Below are 18,405 nucleotides of genomic sequence, written 5' to 3'. Positions count from 1 at the left end.
AAGATTTAGGGGTTAACTTAATTGTACACAACCTGATTAAAGTTTGCACACATACGTTACCATTTTCCAAATGGTGCAGTGTAGATTTGAATTAATTATTAATTGTACTTAAAGCAGTAACAAAGAAACAAATGAATATGTTGGTTGAGGAGGAGCAAAAAATAGATGGGTATGAACACTCAAAACATCTCAGACTCTTGAAAGTACACATGCTTGAACACTGGTTTTCTCTGTATACTTTAGGTAAAGAGCAGAATACATTAAAAGAAAACAGAGATGTCCTGGCGGGGGTGGAATCCTGCAAACCTCACTAGGCGTGTCCCACACTGCCCTGGAGTTGTCTCAGGGGAGCAGTCTCCTCTAGTGGTCAGAGACACAGGCATGGATAATGGGGCTAATACTGTCCAGCTGTGTGACCTTGAACACATTGTATAAACACTGTTCCATATGTAATTTATCTTCCTTAAAATGTAACATTGACACTTGCATTAAATGTATTCTACAAATATGTCAAAAAGAAGATGACGACTGCTAAATGATTATCAAGGCACAATCATATAATATAATGATATTTTCCTGAGTGATAAGATGACTACCAATCTCCCCCAGGGCACTTTGTCTGCTCTGAGCCCTGCGCCTCCTCAGGATTCCCATCCCAGAGCTTGCTATACAGTAGGAGACATGCAAATAGGTTTCTCCCTCTGCTGATGAAAACCAGCCCAGTCCTGACCCCACAGCTCTGGGAGAGAAGCGCCAGCCCTGGGATTCCCAGGGGTTTCTATTTGGTGATCAGGACTAAAGACAGAGGACCCACCATGGAGCTTGGGCTGAGCTGGGTTTTCACTGTTGCTGTTTTAAAAGGTGAACTAGAGAGATTGAGCGTGAGTGGATACCCTTGAGAGAAATGGTGGATTATGTCTGGGAGTTTCTGACCAGGATGTCTACGAGTTTGCAGGTGTCTAGTGAGAGGTACAGCTCGTGGAGTCCGGAGAGGACCCAAGACAACCTGGGGGATCCTTGAGACTCTCCTGTGCAGACTCTGGATTAACCTTCAGTAGCTACTGAATGAGCTCGGTTTCCCAGGCTCCAGGGAAGGGGCTGGAGTGAGTAGTAGATATACAGTGTGATGGAAGTCAGATATGTTATGCCCAATCTGTGAAGAGCAAATTCACCATCTCCAAAGAAAATGCCAAGAACTCACTGTATTTGCAAATGAACAGTCTGAGAGCAGAGGGCACAGCTGTGTGTTACTGTATGTGAGGCACCAGGTAAGAGGACATCAGTGTGAACACAGACACAGTTTCCTGCAATGACAAGGGAGGAGGCTGGGCTAAAAGGGGCACTCAGGACCCACTGAAAACGGGCAGCTCTAGGGCAGGTACAGATGGTTATCATGGGCTGCTTTCCTTCAGGGTCTGTGGCCTCCTCTGCATCTACCAGTTCCCCTCGGAGCCTCTGGACATTTATGTTTCTGTGGCCACCCCTGACATCTCTGGATTAGAAAAGTTTATTATAGGAAGAGGAAACATTCTCATTTGTCCCAAAGCAGATGTAAGTAATGGAAGCAAAAAATGCACAGGAGGCCAGGCGGGGCTGTAGATACTGTCACCCCAGAATGTCAATCTCACCACTAGTACTGGAGAGGGAAGGGAGTTTGATGGACCTTCCCTAACAACCCTGTGGTCCAAGATAAGTCCAGGAAGACCATTGGTGCCTCCCAGAGCACAGTTGTCCATCAGGGATGTCCAATGCGTCCCAGCAGCAGCCATGCCTCAGTGTCTCCACTGTGCACAGCCACTGTCTGGGAGGAGCTCCCAGGATGGGTGTCTTTGGCACACACCAGGTGGCGGGTGTTAGAGTGCAGTGCAGCAGCTGGCTGCCTGTTCTATTGGGCTCCCTGATGCTGGAGAGATGGGAGGTGCATTCGCAGGGCCAGCACCCTGTTTGTGAATTTTTATATAAAAACCCTGATTTTACTTCATTTTTGCAGATGACATAGATAACTAAAAACAGAATCTGCAAAGAAATTGTAATTTTCAACTTTACCCCAAATTCATTGTTTCTTAATTCTGTGCAAGATCCAGACATATTATTGCCTTCCTCATGATAATTTATTCTATGTAAAACCGAAATCATTTTTTCTCCTACTCTTTGTTTCTGTTCAAGTACAGAGATCTTGAGCAAAGTAAGTTGGGTTCTTTCCACACACTAACCCTCACCTTCCCCAGAGAATGAGCAGAGATTGTCCTCAGTCTGAGTCTAAGGGAGGAGCTGTTTCTGCACAACTCAGAGCCTGCAGAGACCCCCAGGTGCAGCTTCAGTGAGTCAGACATTTCTCCATGTGGGCGACCTCCAGTGCCTGTGACTGCTGCTCAGGCCTAATTGTTGGTTAAGTATTACGACACCCTTTAGGTGATCACATCTCAAGCCTATTCTGAAAATCACCATGAACAGAGATAGTTCAATGGCCATTCTCCTGACATAAGTTTCTCTTTATTACTTGGTTCCAAGTATGGAGAAAAATGTGACCCTATATTTGTCTGAATCCAACATCAGCATCCACGGCATTACGCTAGGAGACTCACTAATTGAGCACAAGTGAGCTCGTTATTCTCATAGAAATGTAAGTATTTGGAAATTTCAGCGTGTTCTCCAGAACCTGTGGCTGCCAACAACTGTATTTCTCGGTGCACTCTTGGCCTGGTGAAGCCTTCACAGAACCTCTCCCTCACCTGTGCCATCTCTGCATTCTCCATCACAACCAGTGTTTCCTTCTGGAGCTGCATCCATCAGCGCCCCCATGGGAGGTACTGGAGTGGATCGGGTGCATAGGTCATGGAGGGAGCACAGATTACTCCCCTCTTCTCAAGAGTCCAGTCACCATCTCCAGATCCATGTCCAAAAAGTACTTCTTCTTACAGGTGAACTATGTGAGCAACAAACACATAGCCATGTATTTTAGAGCAAAAGACACAGTGAGGAAACCACAGTGTGAACTCATACCCAAGCCTCCCTGTGGGGGTGCATAGGACAGCCAGGGTTACTCAGGACACCAGGCTCCCTCAGGACACCAAGGGGCACTCAAGACCATTGTAGAGGCATGCAGGTAGCTGGGGGCTCTCAGGAACCATGGGGGAAAATCAGGACACCAAAGGGTGCTTGGTACAGCAGGGGGCTCAGGATTATTGTGGGGATTCAGAAAGAGCAGGTTCAAGGCTCAACCTCAGGGCATGTGCAGCTGGTGTGAAAAGGGGCTGGATGAGGCGTTTTGTGTCACCATCATGTTTCACCACCAGACACCCTCCACTACCTCTATTCTAATGCATGTGTTTGTATGATTAGAAAATGATATTGATATAAATATATAACCATAGCTAGGTGTGTCAAGTTGTCCTCTCCATCTTATATCAGCCTTGTCTGTAAGGACTAATTCCCCATAATTACTTGAGAACCTCATAAATTGTGGTCAATTATGTAGGATTCCTCTCTTTTTCTGCCTTCCTTCCTCCCTCCTTCTCTCTCTCACACAGAAACTTATATACAGCCACCCCACAACACACATAAATCTATAACTTTTATTACCTGATGTATTGATAAGTAATCTAAAGTTACATAAAAATCAGTAGTTCACTGTCAATATTGTAGGAGAAGGGAAGGTCTAGGAAGGAGGAATTACAGAACAAGAGGATATTTTGAGGGTAATTGACTTGTTATCTATGTGGATAATGATAATGTCTATGACCATATTTGTAAAATTGAACACTTCGTGTGGAGACTATTATTTTTTTATTTAACCCCATGCCATTATTTTGCCGTATTCTAGCATTTCTCTAAAAATACAGAAATGTTCAGCACTCATTCATGTGTATATTCAGGAGTTTCTGACTTTTCATGTATTTTATTTATCTCTGTCTAATTGCTTTGATACCAAATTTTACCTAGTATAATTAGTACTACCTTTAGCACTGATTATAAGTCTCACTCCTCCATCATCTCCTTTTTTGCCACACAAGCTGAATCTAGTTTGGACTCATAGGAGCTGCTTCATTCAATGCCAGTGGGAGTTTCAAACCCTATCAACCCCCCTATAAACTGTCATTAAGAAAGTTTATCAAACTCCACCAGTCATGTGATATTAGTTCGTTTTCACAGTGGTATAAAGAACTACCTGAGACGAGGAGTTTACAAAGAAAAGAGGTTTAGTTGACTCACAGTTCTGCATGGCTGGGGAGGCCACAGGAAACTTATAATCATGGTGGAAGGTGAAGGCGAAGCACGGCACATCACACAGCGCAGCAGGAGAGAGAGGGGGAAGTGACACATAGTTTTAAACTATCAGCTCTTGTGAGAACTCACTCACTATGATGAGAACAACATGGGAAAACTGCCCTCATGATCCAATAACCTCTCACCTGGTCCCTCCCTTGACATGTGGGGATTAGAATTTGAGATGATATTTAGGTGGGGACACAAAACAAATCTATAGCACATGTCCAGCTGTGTCCTGGAGTTGTTTCAGGGATCCAGTGTGTACTGTTGATAGAAACAGTGATCATCATTCTAGCCGGTGTGAGATGGTATCTCCTTGTGGTTTAGATTTGCATTTCTCTGATGGCCAGTGATGATGAGAATTTTTTCATGTGTCTTTTGGCTGCATAAATGTCTTCTTTTGAGAAGCGTCTGTGAAAAAAAAAAAGAAACAGTGACACCAAGCTCACACCATCCGTTGTAGTTGACAACATGCAAAGCCAAGAGATCTCAACTGAGATTTAGTGTGTGTGTCATGTCTGATGAAGTCATAAGCTCAGAGCAAGTGAATATGGAAAAGTGTATTATCTGCACAGTGTAGGTGTCTGCTGAGTGCAGGGCAGGTCTCGCAGGAAAATCTAAAATGGCTTGAAAGAAGAGGAAAGGAGACTGGCTCAGGGTTTTTATAATGGTTTAGTGGTGGTGGCACAGTGAGGCTTCCCACTCACAGATCGGGGTTTATAAGGTTTGAAACTCCCACTGCCATTGAATGAAGAAGCTCCTGTGAGTCCAAACTAGATTCACCTTGTGTGGCAAAAAAGGAGATGATGGAGGAGTGAGCCTTAAGTAATCAACAGGCATGCACCAAAAGATAGAGCGACAACTTATTCTAGGTAGCAAGAATAAAAATAATGAAAAAGAAATAAGGGTTCAGTATGGGTGGACAAGACCCAGATCTACAGAAATGAGATGACTTTAGAAATATAAGGAAATAATAATGAGAAAAAGAAGGAGGGGATGGGGAATTAGGGTCCTGGCCTAATGTCTTGGGTAGAAGCTTCTCACAATCAAGGACTATCAGCTTATTCTGCAGGTCTTGGGTCACACGTCTGCTTAAAAACATCAGAAATGCCAGGCAATCAATGAGGATGCTCAGTTTAGCATCTCCTATTTGAGTAGATTTACAGTTGTGTGGAATTCTTAATTGATTCTTTTTGGTTTGTTTTTAGAGGCAGGCTCTCACACTGTTCCACAGCTTAAAGTACAGTTGTGTGATCATAGCTCACTGTAATTTTGAGCTCCGGACTCACGTAATCTTCCTGTATTAGCCTCCTGAATATCTAGAATTAGAGGGGAACGCCACCCCTCACCTGCTTATTCTTTAAAATATTTTTTCATAGAAATAGCATCTCTTTATGTTGCCCAGGTTGGCTTCGATTTCCTGGTCTCATGTGATTTCCCTCACTTTGCTTCTGAAAGTGGTGTGATTATAGGGAAGATCCACTGCATCTGTCCTGAATTGATTCTTCAGTTGTAAAACATGAAGCCAATAATTAACTGCCTGACTGTTTTGTGCAGTGAGTTAGTTAAAAGTTTCTGATAAGATTCCTTCCAATATGATTCAAGAGCAGTATTTTCTGCTGATGTTCCTTTCAGTTTCCTTGTTGAAGATCAGAAGACACTGCGGAAAAGATGTAGTAAAAAGGCAGTTTTAACTCTTCATGATTGGAGTGGATATCACATAGGAATCCCTTTCCGTATTTTGTAACACATGCATGCAATAGAACAAAGATGATCCCTTGGTGTAAAATCTATAAACGTATGGGCCTTTTAGCTACCAAGTCATAGGGTAATAACTGATGGACCCTGAGGAGTGAACCATGATTCCATAGTGCTAGTGGGAGAACCCTTGGCCAAGGAAGTTTACATTTTATTAAAATTGATAATTTTTATGTAGCGATGCCATTTTTTAAACATTCCCAGAAGGTTGTGAGTGGGATTGACTCTGTCTTCTGTGAACAATGACAGTGCCCTCCATGGTTAGATAATATTTTAAACTAGATTGAGCTAGAGTGGTTTCTGTATTGAATCACTATATTTTTTTAGCTTCATGTTAGCTTTTTGTGTGTTAGCATTTGCTTTAAAATGATATTAATCAGCCCTCTAGTAGGTAGAAATTCATCTGAGGGTTTCTTCCCTTGTTGTCCATCTCAATAGGATTTCCAGAAGACGTAAGAACCCTCTCTGTTTCTAAAAATATTCCAGGCTGGGCGCTGTGGCTCATGCCTGTAAACCTAGCACTTTGGGAGGCCGAGGTGGGTGGACCCCTCGAGGTTGGGAGTTTGAGACCAGCCTGGTCAGTATGGTGAAACCTCATCTCTACTAAAAATACAAAAATTCGCCGGGCATGGTGGTGTACACTCGTAATCCCAGCTACTTGAGAGGCTGAGGTGAGAGGATTGCTTGAACCCTGGAGGCGGGGGTTGCAGTGAGCCGAGATTGTGCCACTGCACTTCAGCCTGGGCGACACAGCGAGACTCCGTCTCAAACAAAACGACACAAAAAATTCCAAAGTTGTGCACCCTCTAAAAGCATATGTACTTAATTCTCATTTTTAATTTATTAAACATCTCTAATAAGTTCAATGTTTCCTGCCTTCTGAGTTGATTTCCTAACACATAGAAGAATATATCCTAAATGAAAGTTTGTGTTCTTAATACAAATTACTAGTTAATAACCTTTACTTTTATTATTGAGGTATTATACATCAATGTTAATCAATCCTCTCAATGGGACTCTTACCTAAAGAATATATAAAATATTTTCCTGATCATGACATATAATAGATGTGAACACATTCTTAGCATTCAGCCATGTCTCTTGTCTATTAATATTATAAACCACATGCTAACTTTGATTTTATTGGTAATTGTTCTAATTTCTTTTTTTTCCCACTTCTCTGGTTGTTTTTTTTTTAACTTTAAGTTTTAGGGTACATGTGCACAATGTGCAGGTTAGTTACATATGTATACATGTGCCATGTTGGTGTGCTGCACCCATTAACTCGTCATTTAACATTAGGTATATCTCCTAAAGCTATCCCTCCCCCCTCCCCCCACCCCACAACAGGCCCCAGTGTGTGATGTTCCCCTTCCTGTGTCCATGTGTTCTCATTGTTCAATTCCCACCTAGGAGTGAGAACATGTGTTGTTTGGTTTTTTGTCCTTGCGATAGTTTGCTGAGAATGATGGTTTCCAGCTTCATCCATGTCCCTACAAAGGACATGAACTCATCATTTTTTATGGCTGCATAGGATTCCATGATGCATATGTGCCACATTTTCTTAATCCAGTGTATCATTGTTGGACATTTGGGTTGGTTCCAAGTCTTTGCTATTGTGAATAGGGAATTGTTCTAATTTCAAACTAGTTAATTTTTATCTTCATGCAGCTAGATTATTATGTGTGGCTATTTATTCCGAGAGGGATAAAGACAACATTAACAATTTTCACTGCAGGCATGTCTAGGCAACTCCCTGTGCACTATGACCCTGGGGCGTTGGAGATTCTATGGGGACTCTTCCCTACCTGCCTAGGAGAGTTCTCTGCCTTCTACCTCTAGCATTTTCCTCTTTGAAGAAGTACATCTAACTGTCATTAGAATAGAGACAAAGACAAGTCTTAACTGCTTCCAGCTGAGGAGGGATGCTGTTTGGGGAAGATCTCTCTTGGAGGTCTAAGGGACCCCAGGAAAAGGGAGCCATTATCCCAGGCTTCAGTTGCATGACCATTTGGAGTTTGATGGTCTGAAAATGAGAAGAGGCAAATCTGGTTATTAGAAGACATGTATGAAAACCAAACAAGGTGGCAAGGACAGCTTGAAAGAAAATTCCAAGGCTGCTGACATTCCTAGATAACTGCAGCTGTAGTTATGCCTGCTAAGGTTTGGGCGCATGGGGCTTGGCTTTTGTCAGCTCCCTGGGATTTATTTTCCCAAACAAAGAAACCTCCAGGTTAGGGGCACCCTATTCATTCCCATCACCTGGCATGATTTAAAGGATAATTGCTTAGAATTAAAATATTGATCCAGATTTTTTATATTCCCCATCGCTTTTTGTTTCTTCTGGGCTGTAGCCAGAGATCATTGATTGGCGCTCAGGAATAAGCAGAGTTAGTCTAAAATGCAGGCAAATACTTAAACAACTGAAGAGATTAGAATTTAAAGACAAGTGTATGATATGTTTTGAAATACAATGTTTCTCTTTCCAGTTTTGGTTTTTGTCGGCAGCAAATAATGATAAGACTGAGTTGTTTGCAAAATAAACTTTAGTCTTAAACTTGGCCTGATTATTTGCATAAAGTGCAGCAAGAATATTAATAATAATTCTGTAGGAAAAGCCTGCAAGCACCAGGAGCTTCACAGTCTAACACTATGAGCACGTGCATCCTCACGCAACTCACTGAATATTTCCAAGCCAGCCTGTTCCGATCTTAAATGCCATCCAGTGGCATCTGCCCCAGGTACACTAATACATGGGTCCTGCTTCTCTCTGCAGCCTCCTCTCTCCTCAGATTTCAGGTTTTGTTTATTGTTTGTTTTCTCTCTGACATCAACACAGATATGTTGAAGGTTTTCTTTTTTTTATTTGTAGTTGTTCAGCTTTGTTGTTAATGAGGTCAGAATAAGCTCATAGTTTACACATTTTTACATTCCCATGCCGAGTAGCTGCTTTTCTCTATCAAATCCATTAACTGAGAGAACAATCACATTTCGTTACAGGTGAACAGTTAAATAGTTTGGCATATATTTCTGTGCTGGAATCTAATGCAGCTTGAAATCAAGTCATGCCTCACTCATTGAAAAAAACATGGCTAAATTCTCAAAGAATTGTGCTGAGTGAAAGAAACTAAGGAATTAAGAGTAAATTTTACATGATACATTTGTAGAAATTTTAGAAGATGCCACTATTATAAATTAACATGGAGAAGATTTAAATGTTTCTGAGAATATGCTATTGGGAGTAATGGGGATGTGAGTTAAATTTCAGAGGAATAAGAGAAAGATTTAGGGATTAATTTTTTCAAACCTTGATTGAAGTGCTGAGTAAATGGTTGCAAACATAGGTCTACATTTTTCAAATCATTCACCATAAATTTGAATTATTTATTAATTACACTCGAATAAAGCAATAAAGAAACTGATGAGATAATATTTGACTGAATTGCATCAATAAATAGATCGATATTAACACAAGGAATATAACTGATTTCCAAAAACATACACATGAACCATGGTTCACTCTGCGTATTTAGATAAATTACAGAAAGTTGTCATAACAGATGGGGAATCCTGCAGACTTCACTAGGCATGGGCCATGCTGCCCTGGAGTTGTCTCAGGGGAGCTGCCTCCTCCAGAGGTTAGAGCACAGGCCCAGGTAATAGGACTAAATTTTTAGATGTGTTATCTTAGACACACTGCACAACTGCTGTGTTCTCTATGTAAATTATCTCCTGTAAAATATAACATTGAAGCCTGCATTAAATATATTGTGTAAATATGTAAGAATAAAAGAAAGTTATGAGAGCTAAGTGTTAATCAAGGCACAAGCATATAAGATATAACTATATTTTCCTGAATGATGGAATTACTACCAGTCTCCCCCAGGACACTTCATCTGCCCTGAGCCCAGCCTCTCCTCAGATGTCCCACCCAGAGCTTGCTATATAGTGGGGGACATGCAAATAGGGCCCTCCCTCTACTGATGAAAACCAGCCCAGCCCTGACCCTGCAGCTCTGGGAGAGGAGCCCAGCACTAGAAGTCGGCGGTGTTTCCATTCGGTGATCAGCACTGAACACAGAGGACTCACCATGGAGTTTGGGCTGAGCTGGGTTTTCCTCGTTGCTCTTTTAAGAGGTGATTCATGGAGAAATAGAGAGACTGAGTGTGAGTGAACATGAGTGAGAAAAACTGGATTTGTGTGGCATTTTCTGATAACGGTGTCCTTCTGTTTGCAGGTGTCCAGTGTCAGGTGCAGCTGGTGGAGTCTGGGGGAGGCGTGGTCCAGCCTGGGAGGTCCCTGAGACTCTCCTGTGCAGCGTCTGGATTCACCTTCAGTAGCTATGGCATGCACTGGGTCCGCCAGGCTCCAGGCAAGGGGCTGGAGTGGGTGGCAGTTATATGGTATGATGGAAGTAATAAATACTATGCAGACTCCGTGAAGGGCCGATTCACCATCTCCAGAGACAATTCCAAGAACACGCTGTATCTGCAAATGAACAGCCTGAGAGCCGAGGACACGGCTGTGTATTACTGTGCGAGAGACACAGTGAGGGGAGGTCATTGTGCGCCCAGACACAAACCTCCCTGCAGGAACGCTGGGGGGAAATCAGCTGCAGGGGGCGCTCAGGAGCCACTGATCAGAGTCAGCCCTGGAGGCAGGTGCAGATGGAGGCTGTTTCCTGTCAGGATGTGGGACTTTGTCTTCTTCTGACAGTTCCCCAGGGAACCTCTTAAATTTAGAAAACTGTGCCTAACAATGTCTTCTCTATGCATATGAGGACCTTTTCTCCCTGGCACAAAATGCAGATTGACGCTGACACGGATGAAAATTCCTCAACCATGGTCACAAGGATCAGAGTCCTGAGTAACCTCAGGGCTTCCTGGTGATTCTTCTCCAATCAGACCCAGGACAGGGACCTCCGTGAGATTCCCTGACTGGAACAGTCTTTATGGATCCTGGTCACAGACAATAGAGAGGCTGAACCAGGGTCAGCGTCATGTAGAACGTCACAGATTTCACGTCTGATCCTTCTCCTGACACGAAAGTATGCAAATCAGTATCAGCACCGATCTGGTGCTTCTTTTGTTCCTAATCCATTTACTTTCTTTTTTCGTCGTTTTTCTCCTTTTTCCATTTGTTTTTCCTGCTTTTTGCAAAAGGAAGATGTTTTCCCTGTGAGATGCAGGGGATGACAATTTTGGGAGATGGCTGGAACATCCAATATCCTCAGGGCCGACCATCAGTAAGTGCAGGCTAGAAGTCTCAGAAAGAGCTGAAGCTGCTTAATCACCGTGGAGTTTTACCTTCTCCAGTTCTGCTCTGATGGAATCAGGGCCAAGCAGGTTATCAATGATAATCTACCTAACATAGAGTCAACTGATTCCAGTTTCAATAACGTCTGTTAAAAATTCACACCACCACCTGGATTACTGTTTTGTCAAATCAATACACAGTATTGTCCAGCTAAGTAGACCCAAAGACGGACCGTTGCCCATGGAGAAAAACATTAACCTGAGTTCTAGGTTCTTACAGTGTTAAAGGTGTAAAACTGATTATTAAAAATGAGGCTATTTTTCTTTTTGCTGTTGAGTTGTAGAAGTTTCTTTTCCATTTTGACATGAAAACTTTTTCAGATATATGGCATATTATCCAATTCTGTAAGTTGTAGTTATTTTGTTGCTTTGCAGAATCTTTTTCATAATCTATTCCCACTTGTTCAATTCTGCTTTTTTTTGTAGGTGATTTGAATGTAAAATCCTGAAAAAGATTGCTAATTTTTTGAGTGTTGAGAGTTTTACAATTAGAGGTATTACAGTTAGATATTTGAGGCATTTGGAGTGAATTTTTGTGTTTATTCTAACCTAAAATTCTTAATTCTTTTCATGGGAAAATCCAGTTTTCATACCACCCTCTTTGGAAGACACTACAATTTAGCCATGTTATATTGATGGTTCTCATGCTAAAAATCAGCTTGTCATCAATATGTGGGTTTATATCTAAGCTCTATATAGGTATTTAAGCCAAAACTTTCTATGTTTTTAATAAATGTTGAGGCCTGGAAGTGAAATGCCTAAAGCTTTCTTCTTGCCTTGTTACAGATATTGTACCAAAATATTCTAACCTTTTACTATTGAGTGTAATAATAGCTGTGGCCTTTCTTAACGGCTTTTATTATGTTCAAGTTGTTTTCTTGTCTTCCTACTTTGTTCATAGTTTTAATAATGAAACTGATTTTTTTCAAAGTCTTTTTCTGTGTCTGATGAAATGTTACTGAGATATTTTTTCTTTAGTTTTTTAATGTGTACCAAACTGATTGATTTGAGAATGTTGAATCAAGTATGCATCTCAGGAAGAAATTTGAGTTGGTCATGGTGTATGTCTTCTAAAACACTTTGGAGCTTAGTTTACTATTGTTGGGGATTAATTCATGTCTACTAATGATATTGGTCTGTAGTTTCCTTTATTGTGGTGCCTTTGTCTATTACTGGTAATACTATCATGGTAGTCTCATAGAAAGAGTTTAGAAGGTGTATGGCAGACTACCTTTAAAATAGATTTTATCAGTGGAGAAATGGTGATAGTTTTTTCTTCACTTTTCTGTTGGGAAGAATTTTATGTTGTTTAAAAGATATTCAGAATGACTTAACCTGGTTTATGAGCTTTCATTCTATTCCTTTCTTCCATTCTTTTTGAAGAACTGCTTACCTTTCCTATTTATTTTTAAGTTTGTTTTTAGACATATGCAATACATTTTGAGGTGAAACCTGGTGGAATTTTTTCCAATAAATTAGTAAAAATAAATCATTTAATTGACTATTTTATTCAGGTTGATTTGTTTAATATTTGCTAAAGGCCAGTTCTTTAAGCTATGACACATAATAAATCCCAAATGGCAGTACCTCATTGTTTACTTAGCTTTTGTACTTATATTTTTCAGAGGAAGAACCACTACTGTAAATTGTAAATAGCCAATACATAATTGTATTGTATGCAAATCTGTGACTGTTTACAGTGTCATCTCTGAGAAACATAAAGTTTATTTACTATATATATATAAAGAGTTTGGAAGGTGGACTCCACCAATTTTTGAAAGAGTTACAGAAGGGCTGCTATTACTTCTTTAAATGTTAAGGTTCATTTTATGATGTAACAGATAACCTATCATGGAGAATGTTCAATGTGTTCTTGAGAAGGATGTGTATTACGTGACTCTTGGTTGGAAGGTTCTGTAAATATCATTCAGATAAATTTGTTCAATAGTGTTGTTCAAGTTCAGAGGCACATTGAGAATTTTCTTTCTGGATTTGCTAAACATTATGGTCATGAGGTATTAAGGTCTTGTGTTATTTTTGTATTGTTTTCTATTTCTTTATATCTCTTACAGTTTGCTTAATGCAGTTATATTTGTATTTGTACACATGTGTAAAAACAAAAATCATAATTGCTAAATGAGTTTTATGGCACAGTCACATTATAAGTAATATTTTTCCAAATGCTACCATTGCCACTAAAGTCCTCCTGGAGTCTGACGTCTGCTCTGGGCACTGCCTTCTTCTCAGGCGTCCCACACTGGAGCTTGCTATAGAGGAGGAGGCATGAAAACAGGGCCCTCCCTCTCCTGGTGAAATCAAGCCCAGACCTGACCCTGCAGCTCTGGGAGAACAGCCACAGCCCTGGGATTCCCAGGGGTTTCCATTTGGTAATCAGGACTGAACACAGAGAACTCACTATGGGGTGTGAATTAAGCTGAATTTTTCTTGTTGGTATTTTAAAAGGTGACTCCTAGGGAACTAGAGTGAGTGAGAGTGAGTGGATATGAGTGAGAGAAACAGTGGATATGTTTGCCAGTTTCTGACCAGGATGTGTGTGTATTTTCAGGTGTTCAGTGTGAGGTGGAGCTGATAGAGTCCATAGAGGACCTGAGACAACCTGGGAAGTTCCTGAGACTCTCCTGTGTAGCCTCTAGATTCGCCTTCAGTAGCTTCTGAATGAGCCGAGTTCACCAGTCTCCAGGCAAGGGGCTGGAGTGAGTAATAGATATAAAAGATGATGGAAGTCAGATACACCATGCAGACTCTGTGAAGGGCAGATTCTCCATCTCCAAAGACAATGCTAAGAACTCTCTGTATCTGCAAATGAACACTCAGAGAGCTGAGGACGTGGCCGTGTATGGCTATACATAAGGTCCCAAGTGAGGAAATATCGGTGTGAGTCCAGACACAACATTTCCTGCAAAAAGAAGAAAGGAGTCTGGGCCGAAGGGGACACTCAGCACTCACAAAACAGGTGCAGCCCCAAGGCAGGTGCAGATGGAGGGAGGGTAAGGGCTGCTTTCCTTCAGGGTCTGTGGTTTCCTCTGCTTCTAATATTTCCCCTCTGAACCTCTGTATATTTATGTTTTGTGCCCACCATGAGGTCCCTGGATTAGAAAACTAATTTAAAAGAGGAAATATTCTCATATGTCCCAAAAACAGATGTAAGTTTTGGAGGCATAAAAATGCATAGGAGCCGCGTGAGTCTGTAGACACTGCCACCCCACAATGCCAGACCCAAAACTAGTGCTGGAGAAGGGTGGGAGTTTGATGGAGCTTCCCTGATGACCCCGTGGTCCAAGCTAAGTCCAGCAAGGCCATTGGTGCCTCGCTGAGCACAGTTGTCCATCAGGGATCTCCCATGTGTCCCAGCAGCAGCCATGCCTCAGTATCTCCACTGTGCACAGCCATCGTCTGGGAGGAGCTCCCAGGATGGGTGTCTTTGGCACACACAGGTGATGGGTGTTAGAGTGCAGTGCAGCAGCTGGCTGCCTGGTCTATTGGGCTCCTGGATATTGGAGGGATTGGAGGTGCATTCTCAAGGCCAGCACGCTGTTTGTTAATTTTTGTATAAAAACCATGTGATTTAATTCATTTTCTCAGATGACATAGATAATTAATAACACAATCTGCAAACAATTGTAATTTTCAACTTTACCCCAAGTTCATTGTTTCTTAATTCTGTGCAGGATCCAGACATGGTATTGCCCTTCTCATGAGAAATTGTTCGACCTAAACTGAAACCAGTTGTTTCTCGTATACTTTGGTTCTCCCCACATGCAGAGATCTTGATTAGAGCAAGTTTGGTACTTTCCACGCACTCACCCTCACCTCCCCAGATAAAGAGCAGAAGTTCTCCTTAGACTGAGTCTGAGGGAGGAGCTGTTCCTGTACCACTCAGGGCCTGCGGAGACCCCCAGGTGCAGCTTCACTGAGTCAGGTGTTTCACTCCCTGTGATTGCTGCTCAGGTCTAATTGTGGGCTCAGAATTAGGACAGTCTTCAGGTTATCACAGGTCAATCATATTCTAAAAATCATCATTATCACACACCGTGGTAATAATTCAATGTTCATTTTTCTAAACAGCAGTTTCTCTTTTTTATTTGGTTGCAAGTCTGAGGAAAGGAACATGTGATAATACTTTTTAATCTAACCTCTAAATCTACTGAATTGTTCTAGGAGACTCACAAATCGGACAAAGTGAGCTCTTTATGCTCATAAAAAAATGCATGTATTTGGGAATTTCACCGTGTTGTCCAGGACCCGTTAACATGGACAACTGTGTTTCGCAGTGCACTTCTGGCTTGAGACATCCTCACAGACCCTCTCCCTCACCTGCACTGTCTCTGGATTCCCCATCATAACCAGTGTTTCCTTCTAGAATTGTATCTGCTTGCCCCTAGAAGATGGACAGGAGTGGATCAGGTGCATGGGTTGTGAAGGGAGCACAAATTACAACCCACTTCTCAAGAGTCCATATCCGGATCCAAGAAACAGTTCTTACAGCTGAGCTCTGTGCCCAGTGAACACACAACTACGCATTTTGAAGCAAAAGATGCAATGAAGGGCCTTCATTGTGAGCCTAGACACAAACCTCCCTGCAGGGGTGAATAGGAGCAGCAGGGGGCATTCGGGGCAGTATGGGGGCTTAGGATGATTGTTAGGGGTCAGGATGAGCAGGACCAAGGCTTCGCATCAGGGCAAGTGCAACAGGGCAGAAAAGGGGCTGTAGATGTGGGTTGTTCTCACCATCATATTTCACCACCAGACACCCTCCACTACATCTCTTCTAATGTGTCTGAGTGTTGATATGATTAGAAAATGGCATTTATGTAAATACTACTATGTACCCATATGGAGGTGCATCCAGTTGTCCTCTCCATCTTATGTGGACCTTGTCCATCAAGCACTAAGTCCCTGTAATTACTTGAGTACCTCACACATTATGGTCAAAAGATGTAGGGTCTCCTTTTGACATGGTCTCTCCTCCTGCCTTCTCTCTCTGTCACACAAAAACACGTGAACTGACACACACACAGAGCTTCCCAACTTTAATTATGTGATGTATTGAAGCAAATTGATTAGTGTGCAGCTTTTCTGCTTTGCCTGCTATTCATGTTATGTAAAAATAAGAACCATGTTTTTCTCAGCTTGTCACTTCTCTAAGCTAAGTAGCATCTTTGTTTATTATACCCAGAGACCAAAAGCGATCCAACTGTTATTCAGCAGCTTAACTGGTAAACAAATTGTGGAAAATTCATTTACTGGAATAATACCCACTGTTACAATCAAGTACTGCTGGATACACTCAACACCATGCTTAAAATAACAAGCACCTGAATAAGTAAAATAAGTCAAACAAATGAAAGTGCATACATACGATTCCACTTCTATAATTTCTATAAAGTAAAAATGAACTTAAAGTTACATGAAAAGATCTGTAGTTGACTGGGGACATGGTACAAGAAGAGAAGGTATAGAAAGGAGAAACTACAGGAGAGCAAAAGGAAATTTCTAGGATAATTGATTTTTTCTCTGTTAGTAAAAGTGAGGATTATGTCACTATTTGTAAAATTGTACACTTTATGTAAAGATTCTTATTTGCTAATTTCATCTCATTAAAATATTGCAATTTTTTAAATGTCTAGTTTGGTAGAAAAGGTAGTAGAGAGAGATGAATAAAATACATAAAATTCAGAGAGTCCTGAATACACACATGAATGGACCCTGGGTCTCACTGTACTTTGAGGGAGACACTAGAATACAAAAACATAATGACAGGATTTCAGTACATGAAAGGAGCTTCTCAAACCCCAGGAGGCATGTCCAACTGCATCTTGGAGTTAACTCAGGGAGCAGGCATGTCCTTTGAAAGGAGCCGTGACACCAAGCTCCCAGCATCCATTGTAGCCGACACCATGCCAATGCCAAGAGATCTCAACTAAAATTTTCTGTGGATGTTGAGTCTGATTATGCCACACACTCACACCAAGTGAGTATGCAAAGGATAGTTACCTGCATCCTTAAGGTGTCTGCTGAGAGCAGGGCAGGTCTCTCATTAAGGTCCAAAGTGGCTTGATAGAGCAGGGAAGGAGACTGGCTCAGGGTTGTTATCATGGTTTGGTGGGGAGTGGGGCAGAGCATCGTACTTGCAGGAAGGGTTTTGTGGGGTTTCAAGGTCAAATTGGCATGAAAAGAGGGAGCTCCTGTGATTTCTAACTAGATTTACCTTGTATGCTTAAAAAAAGAGATGATGGAGGAAAGAGCCTGAAGTTATCAGCAGTCAGGCCTAAACATAGAGTCTGATGACTTACTCTAAATAGCAAGTATACAAATGATGAGTAAGAAAAGAGACAAGACTCCAATATGGGTGGACAACAGCCAGGTCTGCAGAAAATGAGAAGACAGTTTATAAGCAAAGAATAATGAGTAGGAGGAGGATATGGAGGAGGATTCTGGTCCAATGTCTTCTGTGGAAGCTTTTCATGATTTCAGATCATCAGCTTATTCTGAAGGTCTTAGGTCACCTGTTTTCTTCAAAATATCAGAAGTGCCAGATGATATGTGAGGATGCGCAGTTTAATTTCCTCTGAGTAGCTTTACAATTGTGTGAAATTCTTAATTTTTTTTTGAGATGGAGTCTCATTCTGTTGTGCAGGTTGGACTACAGTGCTGTGATCATAACATAGCTCATGGTGATTTCAAATTCCTGGCTCATAGAATCCTCCCACCTCAACCTCCTCACTAGCAAGTAGCTAGGTTTCCAGGGCGCTTCATCTACACTTGGCCATTCTTGTCATTCTTTTTTTTTTTTTTTTTTTTTTTAGGTGGATTTTCCCTCTTCTTGCCCAGACTGGAGTGCAATGGTGCCATCTCAGCTCACTGCAATCTCCCCCTCCCAGGTTCAGGTGATTCTCCTACCTCAGCCTCCAGAGTAGCTGGGATCACAGGCATGTGACACCATGCCCCGCTAATCTTGTATTTTTATCAGAGATGACATTTCTCCATATTGGTCAGGCTGGTCTCAAACTCCCTACCTCAGGTGATCCTTCCACCTCAGCCT

The 18,405-nt window shown here is 41.7% G+C and overlaps 5 pseudogenes, 1 gene segment (V, D, J or C) and 1 further gene; all 7 read left to right on the top strand.

Moving 5' to 3' along the window:
• Positions 1-18,405, top strand: part of IGH (immunoglobulin heavy locus) — a 1,293,408-nt gene that overhangs the window by 509,483 nt on the left and 765,520 nt on the right.
• On the top strand, positions 816-1,264 carry IGHV3-33-2 (immunoglobulin heavy variable 3-33-2 (pseudogene); annotated as a pseudogene). The gene is given in 2 exon segments: positions 816-861; positions 956-1,264. Coding segments are annotated over 2 exon segments (355 nt in total).
• Positions 2,698-2,971, top strand: IGHVII-33-1 (immunoglobulin heavy variable (II)-33-1 (pseudogene); annotated as a pseudogene). The gene is given in 1 exon segment: positions 2,698-2,971. A coding segment is annotated over 1 exon segment (274 nt).
• Positions 10,118-10,571, top strand: IGHV3-33 (immunoglobulin heavy variable 3-33). The segment is given in 2 exon segments: positions 10,118-10,163; positions 10,265-10,571. Coding segments are annotated over 2 exon segments (353 nt in total), but the record flags the coding sequence as incomplete, so codon positions are not given.
• GOLGA4P1 (golgin A4 pseudogene 1) lies at positions 12,565-13,078 on the top strand (annotated as a pseudogene).
• Positions 13,760-14,217, top strand: IGHV3-32 (immunoglobulin heavy variable 3-32 (pseudogene); annotated as a pseudogene). Its single transcript is given in 2 exon segments — positions 13,760-13,805; positions 13,909-14,217. Coding segments are annotated over 2 exon segments (355 nt in total).
• Positions 15,658-15,914, top strand: IGHVII-30-21 (immunoglobulin heavy variable (II)-30-21 (pseudogene); annotated as a pseudogene). The gene is given in 1 exon segment: positions 15,658-15,914. A coding segment is annotated over 1 exon segment (257 nt).

The sequence above is a fragment of the Homo sapiens genome, chromosome 14, assembly GCF_000001405.40.
Source record: "Homo sapiens chromosome 14, GRCh38.p14 Primary Assembly".
In the NCBI taxonomy this organism is placed as follows: domain Eukaryota; kingdom Metazoa; phylum Chordata; class Mammalia; order Primates; family Hominidae; genus Homo; species Homo sapiens.
The sequence above is the reverse complement of the archived record's forward strand: the minus strand, read 5'-3'. Positions and strand labels throughout refer to the sequence as shown.